We start from the raw sequence: 22,771 nt of genomic DNA, 5'->3' as shown, positions 1-22,771 counted from the left end.
AAAAAAAAGAAACTTGCATATATGAGAAATACTTTCTTCACTTTGCAGCATGAGAAACGGAATCCCTACTAAGGAAATAATTCTCTTATTTTTTTTGGAACAGCGGTTTTTGAAATTTCCAGATGACCCCAAAGTGAGCAGTGACTTTCTTGATCTGATTCAAAGCTTGTTGTGCGGCCAGAAAGAGAGACTGAAGTTTGAAGGTCTTTGCTGCCATCCTTTCTTCTCTAAAATTGACTGGAACAACATTCGTAACTGTAAGTAGGGCTGTTTTCCTTAATTTGGGATGTTGGGATTATGAAACACTCAAGAGAGATCTGAGATTGTTCTGGCCCAAAGAAGCTTCTGTAAATTACATAAATAAAGGCTTTAATTATCTACAGGAGTAGTAAAGGCTAATGATGTAGCTGTCTTTGAGTAATAATTCTGCCTTAAAATTGTTTGTGTAGAACTGGGTCATTTATCAAACTCTGTGTTTATGTGGCCTTTAGAATATTATCCCTCAGTAAGTTAGAGGCACAGATTAATGGAGTTTGAAGGTTGTCACTTGGTTTGACACAGTTTCTTCCAAAAAAGTGGATCTAGGTATTTCATTCACATATCAGGAAAAAGACTCAGATTAGGCAACATGCCCAGGTTGTTCTGCTAATGGCTGAGTTTAAACAAAAACCATAAACACCTCCCTGTGTTTATTCATTTGTTTCCCTCGATAATATTTGTCTTTGCTCACAAGCATGTAAAACCTATAATGTATATGCACAGTAGATTCATTCATACATCACTTTTTATAATCAGTTAGTGCAAACTGAATGAATTCATTAAAAACAAAGACCTGGTTTATTATCAACAGAAACCACACAATGCTCTTTTTTCTTTTACCAGTTGGTGATCTTTTAAAAATCCTTTTAATTCTTGGATGTGTTGTTGATTGAATGTGTTCTACTGAATGATCAGCACGGATTAGAGCCAGTAGGAAAGCAGTTATCCTGTTTGAGTATGTGTTTTGTTTTTGGTGATGGAGGGAGGTTGGGAAATGGAATCTGTTTCTAGGTGTCAAAACCAGGCTTCTGATTGGAGATGTGTTATAATTATAATTGCTTGCACCTTCAGCTAGGACATAGTATGGTAAAAAATCAGTATTGTCCAGTTGTAAACCATTTTGATGGTTTCTCTAACCTTCTGCTGAAATATTTAAGTAGGTCGCATTTCCATAAATCTTTCTTGGCAAATGTTTTTATTATTCGGGTGGCCACATTGCTTTATTTTTCTAAATAAATAGACATCTCCCCCCAAATCTCCAAGGTTCAGACCTTCTAATCAGTAATATATTTTCAGGGCATTCTTCCTTTTATGCTTTTAGAAAGATGTAATAGACTTTCTTTTAGATGCTGTTCAAGTACTTAATCTTTTCTTGTCTTGCCTTTTTATCTCTGTAATCTTCTTGAATAAGCAGTTAATTTTTTTTATTCATGAACCTGCTGATCATGTCTAAGAATGTATCTCCACTTAAGTAAGTCAGTGAATGGTGATTACCTGAGTAGAGTTAAAGTAGTCCCCCACCCTCCTATCTGTGGCACATATGTTCCAAGTCTCCCAGTGGATGTGTGAAACTGATGATAGTACTGAAACCCATCTACCTTTTTTCCTGTGCATACATACCTATGTTATATAAAGCTTAACTTATAAATTAGGCATAATATATTTGACTCCCAGCTCCCAGTGTAGTGGCTCTGAAGACTCACAAAATGTATTTGCTTTAAAAAATTCTTTTTTTTTTTTTTGAGACGGAGTTTTGCTCTTGTTGCCCAGGCTGGAGTGCAGTGGTGCGACCTCAGCTCACTGCAACCTCCGCCTCTTGGGTTCAAGCGATTCTCCTGCCTCAGCCTCCCAAGTAGCTGGGATTATAGGCATGCACCACCACACCCAGCTAATTTTCTATTTTTCGTAGAAACAGGGTTTTTCCATGTTGGTCAGGCTGATCTTGAACTCCTGACCTCAGGTGATCTGCCTGCCTCGGCCTTCCAAAGTGCTGGGATTACAGGTGTGAGCCACCACGCCTGGCCAAAAAATTCTTTTAATTTAAGTAAATCTTTATTTATTTACTTTTGAGACAGAGTCTCACTCTGTGGGCCAGGCAGGAATGCAGTGGTGTGATCACGGCTCACTGCAGCCTCGACCTCCCATGCTCAAGCAGTCCTCCCACCTCAGCCTCCTAAGTAGCTAGGACTACAGGTGTGTGCCATCACACTCTGCTAATTTTTTTGTATTTGTAGAGACGCGGTTTCACCAGGTTGCCCAGGCTGGTCTTGAACTCCTGAGCTCAAGTGATCCTCCTGCTTTGGCCTCCCAAAATACTGGGATTACAGGCGTGAGCCATTGCACCCAGCCCTAATTTTAATAAATCTTTTATTTTGGAATAGTATTAGATTTATAGAAAAGTTGCAAAGATAGTATGGAAGAGTTCCCACATACCCTTCACCCAGTTTTCCCCAACGTTAACTCTTTTTTATATTTATTTATTTATTTTTTGAGACACAGTCTTCCCGTCGCCCAGGCTGGAGTGTGGTGGCACGATCTCGGCTCACTGCAACCTCCGCCTCCTGGGTTCAAGTGATTCTTCTGCCTCAGCCTCCGAGTAGCTGGGACCACAGGTGTGCGCCACCATGCCCGGCTACTTTTTGTATTTTCAGTAGAGACAGGGTTTCACCATGTTGGTCAGGCTGATCTCAAGCTCCTGACCTCAGGTGATCTGCCTACCTTAGCCTCCCAAAGTGCTGGGATTACAGACATGAGCCACCGCACCCAGCCCCCAGTGTTAACTCTTACATAACAGTGTCACTGTCTAAGTGTTTGAAAAACTATTTGTCAAAACTAATATTGGTACATTATTGTTAACTACACTTCAGACTTTTTTTGGATTTTACCAATTCTCCCACTCATGTCCCTTTTCTGTTTCAGGAATCAATCCGTGGTACCATATTGCAGTTAGGGTGTTTATATTTGATGGGACTGGTCCTAGTTTAGATACTTAGTGTAGCTCAGCCAGCAGGTGGGATCTTCATGCCCACCGAGGATTGGTATTGTGTTTTCCTGGTGGTTTTATGGCATTTCCGACTATGCAGAGAGGCATGGTATTAACTTCAGTGTCTCCTAGCAAATTTTCCTGTTTTTCACCAACCTCTGATCCCTGCATTATTTGCAATCAACTCAGAGATTTGTGATTGAAAACATTGCTTGACTCCATGCTCTTTAAGCTATTTTCTAACTAGGTAACTGTAACATAAATTATGCTTTTATCTAGCACTGTTTTTCATAAACACATGTTGAGTGATTTTCATCAACCGAAATACTTCGAATCATTAAGTTTCCCAAGTTCATGGATGCTGCTTAAATGCCTGGTGGTTCCAGGCTGTCGAATATTTCTGCCTTCTGCAATAAGAGATTGTCCCTTGTTAAAAGCAACATTAGCCTTTGTGCGGTTTCACCCCCAATTCTTCTTTTTCTTGTTGTAACCAATGAAAGGAAGTACTGCTTAACACAGCAGGTAATAATCTTCTAAAACTCATTATCTCAAGAGGTGGTCCTGGCAGGATATATAAATGCAATTTAAGAAAGGTCTTGGCAAATTTATGAATGACAGAACTGGGAGTGGCTACCGAGAGAAACTAGGATGCGCCTTTGCTTTGACACTGAGGTCAGGCGTAGCTTCTGTACACTCCTGGGTCCTGCCTCTTGGGGTTGCTGCAGGCAGCACCCCATGAACCAGGCATCTGACCCAGTTCCAGGATACTTATTCTTCCAGCAAGTCGAACACTCTGTGATGAGTGACTGCCATGCTCATGGGTCACCAGGCTCTCATTATTCTGTTTCATTTCCAGCCTCCCACAAGATTGGTTTTTCAGCTGCTTATTTATTATTATCATTATTTCAAGGCTGCTTTCCAAGTTTCAGTGGGGGGTTTCCTAAGCGTACCAGCTGCCCTGGTTGTGCAGTTCCGGCGATGTTTCAGATGCTGGGCCGGATTCTGGCTGTACCCAGCCTGATCTTTCTGGGCTTCAGGAAAGCTGAAGCCAATCAGAGCTCCTCTTTCATGCCTTTGGGATTATGCTTACCTTGCCTGGCATCGTGTACCTGCTCCCATCCATGGGAAAGTTTTGCTGTCTGGTACTGTCTTCTATCAACATCTTTTAAGATATCTTCCCCCGAGGCATCGTGATGTCAACGGAACCAGCACACTTGTACGTTTTATGCAAGACTGCCATATCTCAACAGTGAGAAATGCATAATGGAAGTGGTGATCACGGATTATTTCCTAGGACATTATGGCTAATGCGCTAGAGAACTCGGATGGTCTGTTGCGTCTGACATGGGCTTTTTCTCTTGAGTTGTCTTTCTTTTGCTATTCTCTGAAAGAAACAATTCTTGCCACATGATCCTGATTTTTCAGGTCCTCAGCATTTGTTAGCAGAAAGTACACTTTGTTTCCATCCGGCAGTGACTCAGTGGTGGTCCCATGCTGATGAAACGCTGAGATAGTCTTCTTCCAAATAGGTATCGTTTTGATTGTTGCTGCTTATTTGCTAGCTGGCCCTCAATAGTGACAATGAAACCTCAAGTGTATAATATGGTTGCTCAATAATCCTGAGGGAAGACAGTCTTTGGTTTGGGGGATAGGGATTCTGTGCCTACTTAGCTTCAGGTGAAAGTCTTACAAATTTTTGTGTGTAGAAATAAGCACCATGTACCTCCTTGGGTTTTTTCTTTTTTTTTCTAGTCCTTTAGTATGGTCAACAATATTGTTTAGGGAGTACCTATTCTGTGCTAACCACTAGGCATTCAAGTATATTACACTATGCTCCTTCAAAACACTTCTGTCAAATGTAAGGATTATTATACCCATTTTACAGATGTGGTTACTGTGGTAACTTGGCCAAGGTCATAGGGCAAGTGAATAAGGGATTCTGGATTTGGGTGGAGGTCTGTGTGATTCCAAAGCCCATGCTCTTTCTACAATACTATATATGCCTTTGCATAAGTTATTGTTATTAGTAATAATATTTGTGATGATGGCAAATAATAAACCATGTCACACTAGAGAGTGATTTAATCTCTAGGTCTATTTAAGAACATTTGGAATTGCAGGAATTGGATTTTTTTTTTTTTTTAAGTGATGGAGTCTTGCCATCTTTGCCCAGGCTGGTCTCAAACTTGTGGGCTCAAGTGATCATCCTCCCTCTGCCTCCCAAAGTGATGGGATTACAGATATGAGCCACCATGCCCAGCCTAGAATTGCAGGAATTTTTGAATTGATGATTCATTCTGATATTTGAATTTCTACAGTATGTTAAGTGCAATGTCAGGTGCTGGTGCTGTGGCTCCATTGATGAACACATTTGGGTATGGCCCTACCTTCATTGAATTTAGAGTCTAAGAGCCTAACCGGTCTTTTGCTTGAATAGAGCTGTAGTCCTGTTAAATTGCTGTACCTCCAAATGGTGGGAAGTTTAATGCTTCGTAGGCCTCCCCTCACTAGTTTACTGAACCACATGTGCTTGATTTTTTTTTGAGATGGGGTCTCGCTCTGTTGCCCAGGCCGGAGTGCAGTGGCGTGATCTCGGCTCACTGCAAGCTCCGCCTCCCAGGTTCACGCCATTCTTCTGCCTCAGCCTCCCGAGTAGCTGGGACTACAGGTGCCCGCCAACACGCCCGGCTAATTTTTTTGTATTTTTAGTAGAGACAGGGTTTTACCATGTTAGCCAGGATGGTCTCGGTCTCCTGACCTCGTGATCCACCTGCCTCAGCCTCCCAAAGTGCTGGGATTACAGGCATGAGCCACTGTGCCTGGCCCCACATGTGCTTGATTTTAAGCAAAATACAGACTATAGGCTGTGACCTGGTGATCTCTTCCCCACATACAGCATCCTGCTAACCTATAACTCTCCCCATGTCTCAGATCTAGCCTGGGAAAGGACAATGTTGGATCGATGGCCCACTTCTAATCTTGGGATTTCTAATCTCAAGATGAGTTGAGAAGACTCAGGATGTGTCCTGTTTTCTGTTTATTTAGAACAGGGTTTCTCAGCCTTGGCACTGTTGACATTTGGGGCCAGATAATTCTTTGCTGTGGGGGCTGTTGTGTGAATTGCAGGATGTTGAACAGCATCGCTGTGCTTTCTCCATGGATACCAGTAGCACCCTCCCCCTGCAGTTGCAACAACCAAAAATGACTCTAGACATTGCCCAGTCTCCCCTTGGGGGCTACAGTCACCTTCAGTTGAGAACCATTGATTTAGAAGAATTGGCCAGGTTATTATCAGGAGAGGGAACATCACAGTAATCTGAATCTCTCAATACTGCCACTGTTACTGTTAACGAACAGCAAAACTATTACGTGGAGGCAGTAGGACCTTGCTACTCAGAGTGTGGTCCGTGGACCGGCAGCATCGGAATCATCTAGGAGCTTGTTAGAGCTTCAGAGACTCAGGCCTACTGAGTCAGAAGCTGCATTTTAATAAGGATCCCCAGGGGATTTCTGTGCATATTAGAGTTGTGAAGCCCTGCAAGAGGAAGAAATTGGATGCTAGCCTCAGAGTTTCTTGCTCATCTTTGTGGGTCTTCCTCGTTTTGTCTTCGGGCTTAAGGTATGGGGAGGCCACTTTTTGGCTCAGGACTCCTATGGGTGAATGGGACTGCTTAGAACTGCTGGGTTTTAGGCCTTGCTTTGAGGAATTTAAAGCTTTTCTCTTAGATGGACATTACATCGTTCATATACTTCAAAATGGTGGTTTGACCTAATCTCTGCCTTCTGATAGCAAAAAGATATTTCCTTGACTCCCTGAACCCCACTTTACTGTTGTCCCATATTGGATTTTAATTAAGGGTGGAATAAGTATTCTTCACTAACATGTTTATACATGTATGATATTACCATGCCATTTATTGAGTGCCTAGTATGTGCCAGGAGCTCTGCAAAGTGCTTTATGCTTATTATTGTTCCATTTATTCTTCCCCAAACCTCTGTGAGGCAGGTCCTATCACTAGTCCACAATACAAATGAGGTCATGGAGCCCGAAGTTGGCAGTGGTAGGAATCAAACTCAGGTCTCCCTGACTCTAAATTCTCTTTGCCTTTGTTTTTTTGAAAAAGTGGTATAGCCCATAGCAGAAAATTCACATTATACAGAAGGTTATACGGCGAAAAATGCCTCCTTCCCACCCCACGCCCAACCCCTCTCCCTCAAGCGAACCACTATTGTCAGTTTCTCATAGAACTTTCCAGAATATTCTATGCTCCTATAACACTAGCACAACCTATCCTCTTAACAACATCTTTATGCTGCCTCCCAAGAATTCAGTAATTTTTTTTTTTTTGAGATGGAGTTTTGCTCTAGTTGCCCAGGCTGGAGTGCAATGGCGTGATCTCGGCTCGTTGCAACCTCTGCCTCCCACGTTCAAGTGATTCTCTTGCCTCAGCCTCCCGAGTAGCTGGGATTACAGGCATGCGCCACTATGCTTGGCTAATTTTGTATTTTTAGTAGAGATGGGGTTTCTCCATGTTGGTCAGGCTGGTCTTGAACTCCCAACCTCAGGTAATCCGCCCACCTCGGCCTCCCAAAGTGTTGAGATTACAGGCGTGAGCCACCGCACCTGGCCAAATTCAGTAATTTTTATTGGCAGGTTATTTTCCCGCATCATTGAAATGAATGAAGCAATCTTTATACTTCATTCATTTAAGCATGGCCCTACCATGCTTATCCTTCGAATCTGCCACTCAGCCATTGGTTTCTGATAAGCAGTGCTCTTCTCAAATGAAAACCCCTTATGGCTTTTTTTTTTTTTTAAACAAGGCCACAGGTGATATCATGATTTTGACATTATTTTTTCATTTATTTTGTTTAGTGTCCTGCCTTTAGAATTGCATTATCTCAATGGCTTGTGCATTTAGTGTGTGTGTGTGTGTGTGTGTGTGTGTTGTGTGTGTGTGTGTGTGGTATGTGAGCACGCACATATTCGTTTTGGGCCCTTTTTTTTTTTTTTTTTGAGACAGAGTCTTCCTCTGTCAGCCAGGCTGGAGTGCAGTGGCACGATCTCGGCTCACTGCAACTTCTGCCTCCTGGGTTCAAGCAATTCTCCTGCCTCAGCCTCCCACGCAGCTGGGATTACAGGCATGCGCCACCACGCCTGGCTAATTTTTTTGTATTTTTAGTAGAGACGGGTTTCACCGTGTTGGCCAGGCTGGTCTCGAACTCCTGACCTCAGGTAATCCGCCCGCCTCGGCCTCCCAAAGTGCTGGGATTACAGGCGTGATGTTTTGGGCCTTTTAAAGTTCATCTTGTTTGTGTATTCATTTGTTTGGGGCCTTTTAAAGTTCTTCTTGTTTGAGGCTTCCTGTCATTTGAAGGGTTATCTGGTCATGTTTTGTTTTCTAAGCTAGTTCCATGAGGATCATAGATATGCTTCTCTGTTAGGCTTGGTTGGCCCTTAAACTTGTCTTCCTTTTGGACACTCACTTACTTCAGGGGCAGGAGGAAGTGAGGAAGAGGAGTTGGGTCTGTTTGGAGTATCAGCATGGACGGGAAGGGGAGCAAGAGGGATGGGATGGTAAAGTAGTGATGGTAGAAATTCAACTTACTAGACCAGGAGCGTGTGGGCGCCACCTACTAAAACAAAAAAGGAATAATGAAGAGCTATAGTCAGTAGCTCTTATAATCTCTTATGGGATATGTAGGCAAATATTTATGTGTCTCTTGGGGGCTGTTCTGTTTTTAGAAGGTAAATGATTGGTAAGAAAAAATAGGCCAAAAAGAGCTAAATGCTTATGAATTAGGATTATAGGATTTTCCCCCACTAGTCTGAATTTAGAAGCTACTTCCAGAGATGTCAAAAATATGTAATATTCTACTTTATTCCAAGATAAATTGAGGGCAACTTATTCTAGAAATAATTGCAATATTAAAAATATAACAATGAATAAATAGAGAAATCTAGATGAAAGGAGTATGAGGATAGGGAAATAAAGTTAGGGTTGAAAGTAAAAACAAGGAAGTTCCTGTTAAGTTGCCAAAGGAAGAATGATTTGGGACTCTCAGTCTCCCAGTGACCAAAGCAGAAAGGAGAATATAAACAGTTACAAGAGCCCCAGTCGCATGAAAAAAAAGTCCAGAATGCTCTGCTCAGAGGAGACCCAATTTTCTGAATACTGAGCCCTGAGGAATTTCACCACTGGGTTTCCCATAAATGAGACCCCCTGTGACCTGGTGGGCCCCATCCCTCGGAAGTGTACCCTGGCATTTCCATAGGACTGCTTCCTTCTGGGCCTCTTAGTGCAAGCCAGCAGTGCAATGCCACATCCAAGTTTGGTAAATCAATTCTAAGTGAGATAAATTAATGCCTTTTTTGGGGGAAGATGGGAAACAGAGTGGGTTTGTTGGAGAGCCCATAAATTGGAGTCTTCAACCCTTAAATTCTCACTTGCGGGAAAACCTTTCACAACCAAGCAAATGTGGAAATGATTTGGCCAAAGATTCAAAATTATATTAAACATCTGGGACTATATTCAGCAGCCAACTTTCTAATCAATTCTATGAGTGTGGTGATTGCAGTTATGCTCATTTTCTGAGGGTGAAGTTTGGATAGAACTAAAAAGGGCGGTTGGCAGGAATCAAAAGAGATGAAAGCCTCAGGACAAAGAGTTAGAGGCCCAGGTGGTTCATGACTGAGAGTTTGGAAATGATTTCTGGTGTCTCACTTCAGAGAAAATAAATATAGCCAACTCTGTTCATCCGTGGTGATGGAACATTCAACTACAGCACTGGCAGTTTGGGATCTAAGACCACCCTTCCAGCACTTCAAAATTCTGACTTATAAAGGACACACACAAAGAACAGATAGCCAGATAGAGACCAAAATACCCACTTTATTCTTGGCAGGGCAAGCACCCAGTAAGCTCTGATGCAGGGCTCTGGTAAATTTGCCCATCCTACCAACAGAGAAGAATGGTGGCCTCCCCTCATGAACGGGGTCGGAGGGGGGCCTTGCCACAACAGGGGGCCTGATGGAAATAAGGGGGACAAGAGTGTTCGGTTGGTTGAGTGCCTGCTATGCCTGTGCCTAGGCAGTAAAAGGGGAAGTTTTAAGTTTGGCCCTTACTTTCAAGACATAGTAATTCTACCTTCTAGTAAAACATGGCCAAATAAATGTCTGCTTTTCATGAGCCAGATAACCTCCTTCTTCTTTATTGGAGGAGTGAGTAGAAGGGTGAGACTAGCCGGGTGCGATGTCTCCAACCTGGGCGAAAGAGCAAGACTCCATCTCAAAAAAAAAAAAAAAAAATTAAGAATAAATCTTTTCACTGTTGGAGAAAAGTTTTGAGAGGCTGAGGTGAGAGGATCACTTGAGGCCAGGAGTTTGAGACTAGCCTGGGCAACATAGCAAGACCCCTGTCTCTACCAAAAAATAATAATAAAAAAAGCTAGCTGGGTATGGTGGTGTGCACCTGTAATCCCAGCTACTTGGGAGGCTGAGGTGGGAGGATTGCTTGAGCCCAGGAGTTCAAGCTTATAGTGAACTATGATTGCACCCCTGCACTCCCTCCTGGGCATCAGAGTGAGACACTGTCTCTAAAAAAAAAAAGTTGGAGAAAAGGATACTAAAGAGATAAAAGGGTACTAAAGAGATCGGGAAGGCAGCAAAGAATGAATCTAGTCTGATGTGTTATTGGGTGTACGTAATTCATGGCGGAAGGTGCTGAAAGGGAAGGTTGCCTGGGCCTACAGCAAGCAGGTGCTGATGAACTAGCTCCTTTGCTATTACTTAAATGTGTCCTGGTTGGGCCAGATGTGGTGGCTCACACCTGTAATCCCAGCACTTTGGGAGGCCAAGGCGGACGGATCACTTGAGGTCAGAAGTTCGAGACCAGCCTGGCCAACATGGTAAAACCCCGTCTCTACTAAAAATACAAAAAAAGTATCCAGGCATGGTGGCAGGTGCTTGTAATCCCAGCTACTTGGGAGGCTGAAGCATGAGAATTCCTTGAACCCGGGAGGTGGAGGTTGCAGTGAGCCGAGATCATGCCACTGCACTCCAACCTGGGCAAAAGAGCAAGACTGAGTCTCAAAAAAAAAAAAAAAAAAAATTCCTGGGGAATATCCACCAGGGTGAAAAATTGGGTATATCCAAATTCAGCTTTGCAAAGAAATGCACTCATGACTAGTTGCAATTTGAAACGTTCCTCTTCTGAGTATTTCTAGCCTATGTAGGTGTTTCACAGATTGCTGAGTACCTAGACTGAGAGGGAGAGAAAAAAACAAAGTAAAGCTAAAATGTTAAGAAGTCTGGTTAAAGTGCAATCCAGAAGTGAGGGAAAGCATCTCTAAAAGTATGAATCTTTGGGGAAACATAACTTGATTACCAAAAACTTAATATTAAGCAGCCTCATAGGAACATGGCTTTTGGGTATGGCGAGAGCCAGCTAGAGCTCACATCTCCATTGAAATCCACCACCAGAGAGGTTATCTGCCTAGTTGTTGGCAGCCAGACCCTGGCATTGTTTAGATTGATTGATGGAAGGCTACTTTGGGAATGCTGGCTTCCTTATTCATTGACTTTAAAGACAGCATTGTAAAAATTGATCACCAGCCCAAATCAATGTTACCCTGAAGTATTTTTATGACTTTTTGGGGAGGCAAAGAGATGGGATAATTTTTGATTTATTTAAGTCTATTGCAAACTGGAACTCCTTTGTCTTCTTTTTGAACTACCTTTTTTGTTTTTTTGAGAGAGAGTCTTGCTTTGTTACCCAGACTAGAAAGCAGTGATGCAGTCACAGCTGACTGCAGCCTTGACCTCCCAGACTCCGATGATCCTCCCATCTCTCCCATGTGCATCACCACACCCGGCTAATTTTTTGTATTTTTTGTAGAGACAGGGTTTTGCCATGTTGCCCAGGCTGGTCTTGAACTCCTAGACTGAAGTGATCCACCTGCTTTGGCCTCCTAAAATGCTGGGATTACAAGTGTTAGCCACCAGGCCCGGTCTTGAACTTCGTATATACAGTGTGTTGTGTGGGCAAGTCATGCCTGACCACTTCCTAGTGGGAGGGGAGAAACTAGAGGGCTTGCCTGAGGCTTTAGGCAATGTAATCTGTTCTCTTGGGATCAATTACTTATGCATATTTAGTAGCCAGCTCTATTTGCTGATCACCTAATCTGTTCTCTTCGTTCATTCCCATGAGACTTCGATATGGGATATCTTCCTCTTCTTCCCATTGCAGCCTTTTCTCTCAGAGTTGTTCCCATGATAAGAACTCCCATCAAAATCTCTGCTCTAACATCAGTTGTCAGATTTTGCCACTTTTTTTTTTTTTTTTTTTTCTGAGATGATGGAATCTCACTCTGCTGCCCAGGCTGGAGGCAGTGCCACCATCTCGGCTCATTGCAACCTCTGTCTCCCGGGTTTGAGGGATTCTCCTGCCTCAGCCTCCCGAGTAGCTGAGATTACAGGAGCACCCCACCACTCCAGGCTAATTTTTGTATTTTTTTTAGTAGAGATGGGCTTTCACCATATTGGCCAGGTTGGTCTCAAACTCCTGACCTTAAATGATCTGCCTGTCTCTGCTTCCCAAAGTGCTGGGATTACAGGTGTGAGCCACTACGCCCAGCCACATTTTGTTACTTCTTTCTGTAACCTGAATGTGGAAAAACTCACTGTCTTTCCTCCACTCTCACACCATAACTGTCAACACCACAGAAGACTTCTGTGACCAAATATGTGGTCACCACCAAGCAAGCAGTAAGTTCTGCAGTGGACACCACTAGGCGTCCTCCAGTTCAGTTCTGGCACTATCCGCCTGGAGATAGGGCTCAATCCCACAGGTGGAGGTCTCAGTCCCCAAGAATGTCCCCTCTTCAGGCACCAGTTGCAAGTCCAGGCCTCTGGAACTTCTCGCTGACTGGCTTCAAATTGGGGTTCCTGCAGCCCCCTCTTTGAGTTCAATTAATTGGCTAGAGCTGCTCACAGAACTTGGGAAAACACATTTACTGGTTTATTCTAAAGGACATTGCAAAGGATAAAGATGAAGAAATGCATAGGGCGAGGTATGGGGGAAGGGTTGCGAGCTTCCACGCCCTCCCTGGTCGCCCTCCAGGAACCTCCACGTGTTCAGCTATCCGGAAGCTCTCCAAACTCTGTCCTCTTGGGACCTTTCATGGAGACGCCATTGGATAGGCATGATCAACAACCATGTAGAAATGGGATTGCACGAAAAGGCTATGATCTAATCCTCATAGGCTGAGTGGGGAATCCCAGCAAGGCCTGTTTGTTCAGATCCTTCTGTAGCATTCATTCCTCCAGGTTATGGGGCAGGACCCCTTCTGAAATGGGGTCTTCTGACCTACAATCAGACAAGGCAGAGGAAATTTCTTTATGGCCAGCTCCAAGTCAGAAAGGTGGGGGAAGATTAGAGTCCTGCCTTGAGCAGATGAAAGGAGGGCTGGAGGAGGTCAGAGAGAGAGAGATTCTGTTTTTCAAGGCCTGCTTCTAAAGCCTAAAGCACCCCTAAATAACAAAAGATTGTAACAAGGACTATGGGAGTCATAAGCCAGGAACCGTGGATGAAAACCTATATATATGTATATATATATCTCATAATAATTCAAACCTGTCTCCTGTTAATCCCATCCTCTCTGTTTCTGTTATCATTTCCTTAGTGTAGATCTGCCTAAGTGTAGAATTTGTAGAATTTGTCATGTTGACTATTGTAGACTTGTCTTTTAGAGTTTCTAGCACTAGCCTCTTCCACCCATCACTATTGAGATGATTGTATCCGTCTCAGTACTGACACTAACCCAGCACTCTGGTTTTACATCTGTCAATCCATCAAGACTTCACTTTCACTTTCTTCCCTGCCTCATTATTCACTATGCTCTTGGGCCATTGCTCTGGCTTCTGGGGCTTTTCTAAAGTAGCACTTTTCCCCACTCCAGCCCATGAAGATACCTTTTAACCAGCTCTTGAGATTAAATCCCCTCCGTGACACTTTCCTGCAGGAACTTGCAAAAAAGTACTGCATTCCCCACTGGCAAAACTTGCCATCAGCCAGTTTATGTATTCTCTGCTTTTCACACCCATATCTTGACCTCTGAACAACACACATATTCTCCTCTTCATTTATTTCACAGTTCTGTCTTCATAACATTGATAAGTATGATCACATTAGCGCTCTAGATTTTAAGCAACTGGAAGATAGCTATTTTTTTGGTACTCTTCCTTTAAATTTGAACATAGTGTCTAATTAGTCAATTAACATTTTTTTAAAAGGGCGAGGGACATCATGGTAGAGAGAACGAAGTTGAACGTGTTTTTGGTTGAATATTAGCGCATGCCCACTGTATTCTAGGCACAGTCCTGATTCATTATATCATCACACAATAATTATTTATGTGCCTTCATCCTTTATGACACAGTGCTGGCTCTTATTCATCTCCCATTTCTGCAATCCATGGTGATGATTAAAAGTCTTAGGAGTTTTACGAGGCTCAGTATTTTTTTTTTTTAATATGCTAGTTCTTCATGAATACATTGGGTACTCTGAAGCATATCATTTCCTGGGTTTCCTGAAGTGGTATGTTGCGTGGAATGGCACATTAGGTCTAAATAATTATCCCCTATGTAAGGTTCTTGTTTTTCATTCATTCTCTTAAAAAATAGATATTAAACATTAAATAAGGACAGCCAGGTATTGTTTGAGGTGTTAGTGGGCTATGCTAAAAAATCAAAGGTGGGAATGAGGCAGCTGGAGCTCAAAGGAGCATGTTAGAAGGAGTCCCAAGAGGACAAATCCATTTGGTTCTTCTTTCCTTGTTTTTTTTCGAATATTTTTGAGGATGATAATTTTTTTCCCCTCAAAAGCTTTTAATGAATGTTAGGATTAAAAAAGAGAGAGAGAGAATTTATAGAAGAGAAATTAACTATAGCTCCTAAAATAGCTCTTTGTTTCTGAAAGCCTTGATTCTGCTATCTATTTTATAACTGAAACAAAAACAAAAACAAAAACAAAAAACAACCTCAAGAAGTTACTTGTATAGCCTCTGCCACTAAGGAGACTGTGTTCTGATGTTACCTCAAACAGGCTGATTTATTAAAATATTTAAAAATATATATGGAAATATTTTTTTCTATTTTTTTTTTTAGTGGCTTTTCCCAGTGAACAATAGGTCTTACTATATGATTTCTTATTTGTCATTAGTGAATGTGGTGGGTATGTGGCAGCTGGGGGAGCTGATGATTTCATAATACTGTATCAGAAATGATTAGTGTAGGTACTTATTAACATATTTCTCAGACAGAACAATCTTGACTTTTAAAACCTCTTCATTTAATTCAAACATCAAGTACCCTGTTTGTGGCCTGTGTTATGTTAGGTGCTCTCTTTACAAGACCTATTTTCTTGCTATTTAATTATATATTTGCTTAGCAAATATTTACTCTGCACCTACTAGGTACCTGGCACTGTGCTGTGTACTGAGGTGCCATGTGTACCTCCATCAACATAGACTCAAGATCAATATGATTTCAGTGAACTAAAAATACCTTTATTGAAGCAAAAAAAAATCACATTTTGTAAGGATCAAAAAAGAGACATTTTATATAAGGTACAAGAAATAGAAGAATTATATCCCCAAGATATATGTGATAACATACTTGTTAGTTTTTGGACGTGACCAGATTTTACACAATCCTTAAAAAATGCAGCAACCAGATTTTAAAGTAGTTCTCTAATCTCTCTTTCTGTGCCCCATTAGATGTATATTGGATCTTCTCATTCTGTCTTTGTCTTTTGACCTCTCATGTTTTCCGTCTCTTTGTCTCTGTGTGTTGCATTGTACACAAATGCTTCTTGAACTGTGGTGTGCACATGAATCACCTGGGGACCTTGTTACAACGTAGGTTCTGATTCCATGGGTATGGGGCAGGGCCTGAGATTCTTAGAGAATTAAATTCTAACCAGCTCCTGAGTGGTGGTGATAATGCCAGTGTGTAGACCATAGCTTAAGTATCAAGGTTCTATGTGATTCCCTCAGATCTAACTGCTAGTTCACTAAGTTTCTCTTCAGCTGTATCTAGTCTGCTATTTAACATATTCAGTGAATTTTTAACCTTAAATTCAAGAACAAGACTTTTTATTTATGGAAGTTCAGTTTGGTTCCTTTCAAATGTACCTGGTTCTTTTTCAAAGTGTCATGTTCTTTGATAAGAATTTCTACTAATTTACCTTGATAATAAAAATTTGTTTCATGGCTCATTTTAGATTGTTCTTTTATCTGCAGTTTTTGGAGGGCTAATTCTCCCATTTCTTGTATCTGTTGTTGCACCCGTAAGGTGTAGTTGTTGATTTTTACTTTTTAATTGTGAATTTATTTCTGGTAGGGATTGGAAGGAGGTTGTTGGGGTGGGGGTGGGGTGGGGAGAAAATCCTGTGTGCCCTGGGTTGCAAAAACACCCCTACAAGTTGTTCTCCACTTGCATCTGCCAGTGCTCCAAGGGCTCAGTGATCCTGGACCAGTAGTCATGTTAATTTCTTGAATTGTAACAGGATACTGTAAATGTGGACACTCTACCTGAGGTTACTGCTTCTTTCTATCTGCTTTATTTCCTTCCCACTGAAGGGCCCTGGACAAGGGTAAACATCTCATCACTTTCTGGGTGGCAGAATATTTCCAGTTCCCCCACTTCTTTTTGGCTTAAGGCTGTGGCTTTTTCCTCTGCCTGAATGTGGCCCTAAGAAGCCCTTCTTTTCAAACTTTCCTGTTGTACTTGACCGACTAGCTGTCTAGAGGTTTATATCCCTAGCTTTTAATCTTTGCTGTGAATATCTTACCTGTTACCAGCTAGTATATTTCACATTGACTTCTCTTTCCTTTTTTTTTTTTTTTTTTTTTTTTGAGATGGTGTTTCGCTCTTGTTCCCCAGGCTGGAGTGCAGTGGCACGATCTTGGCTCACTGCAACCTCCACCTCCCAGGTTCAAGCGATTCTCTTGCCTCAGCCTCCCAAGTAGCTGGGACTACAGGCATGCACCATCACATCTGGCTAATTTTTTTGTATTTTTAATAGAGATGGGGTTTTACCATGTTGGCCAGGCTGGCCTTGAACTCCTGACCTCAGGTGATCCACCTGCCTCGCCCTCCCAAGGTGCTGGGATTACAGGCATGAGCCACTGTGCCTGGCCTACTTCTTCTTCCTTTTAACTTGAAGATTATCTGCCCCTTTTTCTAATCTTAACCGCATTAAGCTGGCTTTGAGCATGGCAAGAGTTTTATAGATGAATCTTATTTTATAGTACAGGATTTCAAAATCATAATTATTTCACTGAGGGTGGCTTTTACTCTCCATTAATTATACTTCTCACTCAGAAATGGAATTCTATTTTGGTCTCCTAAAGATAAATTAGTATATAGTGGAAAGGAATTATAAAGTTCTGCTAGGAATTAAATGATATGATTAACACAAACATCCACATGGATGTGTCTCTGCCCTGTGCAGGAAAGATGAACATTCAGTACAGATTCTGCTCTATGTCACTAGCTTTCAAGACCTGCAGGTTCTCTCCTAAGCATGCAATTCCTGTGAGCAGTAGCAATAATAGCAGGTCATATTTGTGGAGTGATTACTGTATGCTAAGAACTGTGGTAAACACTTTTATATGGATTATTTTATTTAAACCTCCTAATAGTCCATTGAAATAGATATTGCCATGTTGAAAACTGAGGTTCAGAGAGGTTAAGTGACTTACCCAGTGTCACAGAACTAGTAAGTGGTGGAGCTGGGATTTGAACTGAGATTCCAGAACAATTGCCATTAACCACTTTGCTTCCATATTAGTATCATCTGCAAATCTCTCTCCATAAATTTCCTCAGTCTTTATCTGAGTTTCCTTATTTCAGGAAGGAAAACTTCTGTTTTTGATCCTTATGAAATACAATTTCCATTAAAACTTTTTTTTTTGCTATTAAAAAAGGTACCGGATAATTGAAACCAGATTGGATTTGAGCCTGTGTTGATGGAAGTACACATGGGATGTGGGCTGAAGTGTTCAATCTAATTTTTCTTTCCATCAGCTAATTTTTAAAGTATTAAGCAAGTAGATTCTGACACTAACAGGGAAGATTTAAATTCTCTTGAGAGACTGGAGGTGTTAAATAATTTTCTGGTAGTGCACATTTTACATCTTAAATCTTCCTCACTCTCCCACCTCATCTCAATGTACCTGAAGCTCTGGGAATGTTCTTTTGTACTTCTCAGGAACAGCCAGACCTCTGGCTTCATCTCCTCTCCCCTCCACATCCCTTTCCTGCTCCAATTACTTCCCAGCGCCACTTGGATGTTGTTGTCATCGGGGAACTTTGGAAACAGCCAGATTTTTTTGGAGTCTGTAAGCAGAAAACAGACTGCTTGCTGCTCATATCTGGCACCCAGCTTTGTCCAGAAAACGAGGAGTTAAAAAGAAGTCTGGGCTGTGAAGGGCTGTGACAACTGTCCTAGGGGGAGCTCTAGCGAGCCCTGGCGGGCAGTGACTCATGCTGCTCTGTCACTGGGATCAGCACTGGCCCCTGGCAGGCAGGCGGCAGCCAGGTGGGGTTCCAGCCAGAGCACGCACGCACGGAGCCGGGAGCATGCAGCCTGCACTGCGGGGGATGTGATGCTCGGCTCTAACTCGCCTGGCTGGCCCGCCACGGACGCCTCAGCTTGCAACCATGGTAACGTTTCTGGCGGGGGACACCCCCGGGAGCCCACCGCGATGGGCAGCCTCCTGGTGACTGATGGACGAGTGTCCACCTCCCAGACCGAGAGCGCTTAGTAGGTCGGAGGAAGTGGAGAGGATGTAACACGCCCCCAGCCGGGAGTGAAGCCCTGAGGAGGTAGGAGCCGCATATGTCCATCCGTGCATTCCCACCGTCAGCGCGCAGGGGTGCTGTAGATCACCGGTAGGAACTTTATTTGGCTGGTGCTTCATTATGCTGATTAAACTGCAGTGGATTTGATGGGCATGATTGCGCTGGGGAAGATGCATAATGAACTAAAAAAAAAAAAAAGTGGTTAATAAGATCTCGGAGTCGACTTGTCCGGGTATGAATGAAGTAGACTGCAGTGGTATCCTAACAGGAGTTCCAGAACCTCACACATCCCTTTTCCTGGTCCTTCCTCTTATCCCGGTTAATCCACGAAATGTAGAAGTTCCATCTTATTTCAACGATTAGTGCTAATCATTAATAATTTAGACCTGTCTGGAGGAGGGAATCCATAGGTTTAGGTCTCCTAGCATCCTGGCACTAGCCAGCAGCTGCTCTGTAGGAGCCTTCTGGAAACAGCAGGAAGGAGCGGCTTCCCCACGAGTTCCCCAAGTGCTTTCGTTGGCCCAAGTGCTTTCGTTGGCCCAAGTGACCTGTTTGAGTTTGCTCTTCAGTTTACCCCAGGCGGGAAGGCAGCCTGTCTGCGGGTTGGTGGCCATGTTGGCAGAGAAGGGGTTAATCTCTTGTTGCTGTAGGAGCCGAGGTTGCGAGCTAGATTGAAAGCAGGCGCTGCAGTGCCATCGCCAGCGCCGAAGGAGTAAGACGATCTTCTCCGCAACAGTGTTGAATCCGGCTGAAATTTTTTTTCCTCCCCGCCTCCTTTCTTGTTTTTCTTTAACCAGCTCCTCCCCCCTTCGTTCCCACCCTCAAGTCTGACGATGACACCTCCAATTTTGATGAACCAGAGAAGAATTCGTGGGTTTCATCCTCTCCGTGCCAGCTGAGCCCCTCAGGCTTCTCGGGTGAAGAACTGCCGTTTGTGGGGTTTTCGTACAGCAAGGCACTGGGGATTCTTGGTAGATCTGAGTAAGTGAAAATTTGACTTTCTAAAGGGACCTGCATTGATGCAAGGCTTTTGGAGCCAAAGGTGGTGGTGGGGGGGTGGGGGAATAGGTGGGGGGAGTGCAGTGGAGGGAAGCTGCTAGTCACCTGCATTGGGAAAGCAGTCTACCTGTTAGGGCTTTGCGGGGGTAGCCTGTTAATATTCTCATTTTGCAGTGTGTAAGGTACCTGTTCCTGTCTGTGGTATGATAATTGTCAATTGGGTACTTTGGGTTAGTTTTCCAATCTTTGGTCTTCTTTAAAGGGGAGAGAGTGGGAGATTTCCAGCAGTGCAGATCCCCGGTCAAAGGAGAAATGTGCAGGAGTTAAGATGAGCTGCCCATCTATCTAACCATCTATGTATCTGTCTCTCAAGTGGGTGGATGGGGGTTGCTATCTTGGCTGTATAAAGAATCCTAAAAACCTTGTCTCATAAGCTAGAGGTTTCCTGATGGGTTTAACTGAGCTGCAAGTGGCTGAACCAGAGCTCTAACAGAGAGATGGTGCTCGGCTCCTCTCCAAGTATGCTGCAAGATCAGGGATCTGGCAGCTGAGCCTCTCTGAGCTGGTGGAGCGCTGGCAGCCAGAGAAAGCCCCGTTACTGTGAGCCACCAGGAGGGAGTGTGATGTAGCCGAGTCATTGATTCACAGAAACTGGGCTTCATAGGGGGAAAAAAAACCAGGAGACTAGAAAATGGAAATATAAATATCACTGTAAACCTCTTGATCTGGTAGGTCTTTCTCCATTCTCATAAAAGCTATTGAAAAATGCATTAACAGAGCACTTGGAATTAGAGGGTCGAGGCTTCCAGGAGCCTCCTGGAATTTCTGTAAAATGCAGTAGCTTCTGTGGATGTGGGAGGTCAGTATCTTGCCTCATTCTCTCATGATACAATGACATTCTGTTTTCAGAGGAGTGAGTTCCCCAGAAGATCTTGGACTGATGGTGTTATTTGCCAGCCACCCTGGTCCCTGCACTTTCAGGTTCTCAGAGGGTAATGTTGGGTTAGTTGCTGCCCACTTAGGAGACGAGCAGAATTTGATATTCTTCTTGGCAGCATCTTTCCCTCTTTGTGGTATTTGTAGCTTAGATATCGATTTATAGGGATGTTATGTTGGTTCCTGGATGGTGTCTCCCTATGGGTGCTATTTTGACAGTAACGTTCCTGAAAAGATTTCAGAGTGTTGTGGGGAATTGGGCATTTGATACGAAATAAGGTTGTGGGCTGTGATTGAATGTGAGGGAGGTTTTTATGTTGCAAGATGTTGAAGTGGTCTTTCTTGATCCCCTCTCTGGGGGCTGGGTTTCAAATTCAGGTTGGATTTTGGTAGTGTTAGATGTGCCTCTCTGTCTGATTTGCTCCACAACCCCAAAGCAATCTGGATGGTGGTGGGAGAGGCAGAGTGCTAACTAGCTGTTGAATGTGCCATCAGATGGGTTTGAAACGGCTCAGCAGGATTGGGAGGTTTTGCCATTGGCATCAAAGAGCAGGGCAGAAGCGGAGGCCTGATGTTGAAGGATGCATGGTTAGTGGGCAGTATAACCTTGACACACGCAGCACACTGAAGGTCACACGTCGTACTGGAAGGACGTGTGGAGAGTTCTAGTTCTGGTTAGCAGTGGGCTGGCTGGGTCAGAATGCAAGCTTGCTTGGGTGTTGGTCAGTGATCTGAAAGACGAGGGAGGATTCGAGGGAGTTAGATTTCAGGGGAAAAGGCAGAATGATATGGGAGATCTTAGGCATTGCAATTAATCTGAAGCAGTGTGTGATTAATTGCTTATTTTTCAGGAAGACTTGAACGACATCTTTCTGTTTCTCACAGAAAGCTCAGTTTAGGGAGCTCTCTGACAGGGACATCTCAGTATTAAGGCTGAGGCACTCGATAAATATTTGTTGATTTAATTTACCTATGATCCTTTCCTCCAGAAGTGTTTATATTGCTTATTGTATTTGAAGATGTGCTATCTCACCTCTGGTAGTTTAAACTATATCCTTAGAGCACAAAACGAGCTGCTGTTCCTGACCCAACAGAATGTTTAATAAGATTCTTATTTCAAAAAAGGTCCATGCAAATAAAACTGTGTATTTCTTATTTGGACGATGGCATCAGAGTATTCCTATCATTGGGGAACTTTAACGTTTTTTCAAAGCTTGGCAACGGGGTTGGAATCAGAAAGATTTTCTTTCATCTTGCGTCTTGTTATGTGTTATTGCTATTGGACTTGGCTACTCTGCTGTAGGCAGCCCTGTGGGTGATACCTACAAGCATCATTTTAGAAATTCATCCACCTGTTGGATGTAGATGACCCTGGACATATCAGATTGTGATTAATTAGAAATCTAATAAAAGAGAGGCAGTGATGAAATTACTTAGCAGCTCCTGCAGTTTTATTGACAAAATTTACTTGGAGAGAGGGGGAGACATTTTCTGGGGGTACCACCTTTGCTGCCAGCGACCCTGTGTTTCTTCCTGAGTTTCTTTTTCTTTTCTCACCGTTTTCAGCATCACAGGTTTTTATTTACACACATTGATTACCTGTGCTGTTACTCATTCTTCACACCACTGAGGAAATTGCAGATGCTGCTGTACTGTGCTAGGTAAATTGACCTCAGATTTGTTACCAGTGAATTGAATGAAATGTTCAGAGGTGGAGCTGAATGAACGAGGAGTTTTTGTGGAGAAATTGGCAGTGAGAATGATTTAAATTCTGTGATAGCTCCTCGTTTTTTGGGATCCTTATTTTGGGACCCCAGACTATTTTTAAGCCATTGAGTGCATCATTATTTTAGGCTGAGCAAGAATCTTGATGACAGCGTTTCAATGGCTGAGGCGTAGTGGGAGTTCCTTGCAGCTTGAGTTGGTGGGAGCTGGAGAGTTTCTAG

At 43.0% G+C, this 22,771-nt stretch overlaps 1 protein-coding gene across 14 annotated transcripts in view, besides 1 other annotated feature; it reads left to right on the top strand.

Annotated features, from left to right (window-relative positions):
• The window catches only part of CIT (citron rho-interacting serine/threonine kinase), a 191,530-nt gene that overhangs the window by 54,244 nt on the left and 114,515 nt on the right, over positions 1-22,771 (top strand). For 12 of the 14 annotated variants that reach the window (XM_011537788.2, XM_011537787.2, XM_047428134.1 and 9 more), the window contains exons 9-10: positions 104-257; positions 19,688-19,871. In XM_011537788.2, coding sequence (XP_011536090.1) covers positions 104-257; positions 19,688-19,871 — 338 coding nt within the window. Of the gene's footprint in view, positions 1-103; positions 258-18,572; positions 18,915-19,687; positions 19,872-22,771 lie in introns of those variants that run through there. The other 2 variants (XM_011537789.2, XM_011537790.2) reach the window with 2 other exon arrangements.
• Positions 18,199-18,750: an enhancer, noted in NCBI's record as "H3K4me1 hESC enhancer chr12:120242131-120242682 (GRCh37/hg19 assembly coordinates)". NCBI's record gives its function as "activates a minimal SCP1, AML or CMV promoter by ChIP-STARR-seq in naive H9 embryonic stem cells {active_cell/tissue: H9 hESC(naive)}" and the evidence as "EXISTENCE:reporter gene assay evidence [ECO:0000049][PMID:30033119]".

Source organism: Homo sapiens, chromosome 12 (genome assembly GCF_000001405.40).
Source record: "Homo sapiens chromosome 12, GRCh38.p14 Primary Assembly".
Classification (NCBI taxonomy): Eukaryota; Metazoa; Chordata; class Mammalia; order Primates; family Hominidae; genus Homo; species Homo sapiens.
The sequence above is the reverse complement of the archived record's forward strand: the minus strand, read 5'-3'. Positions and strand labels throughout refer to the sequence as shown.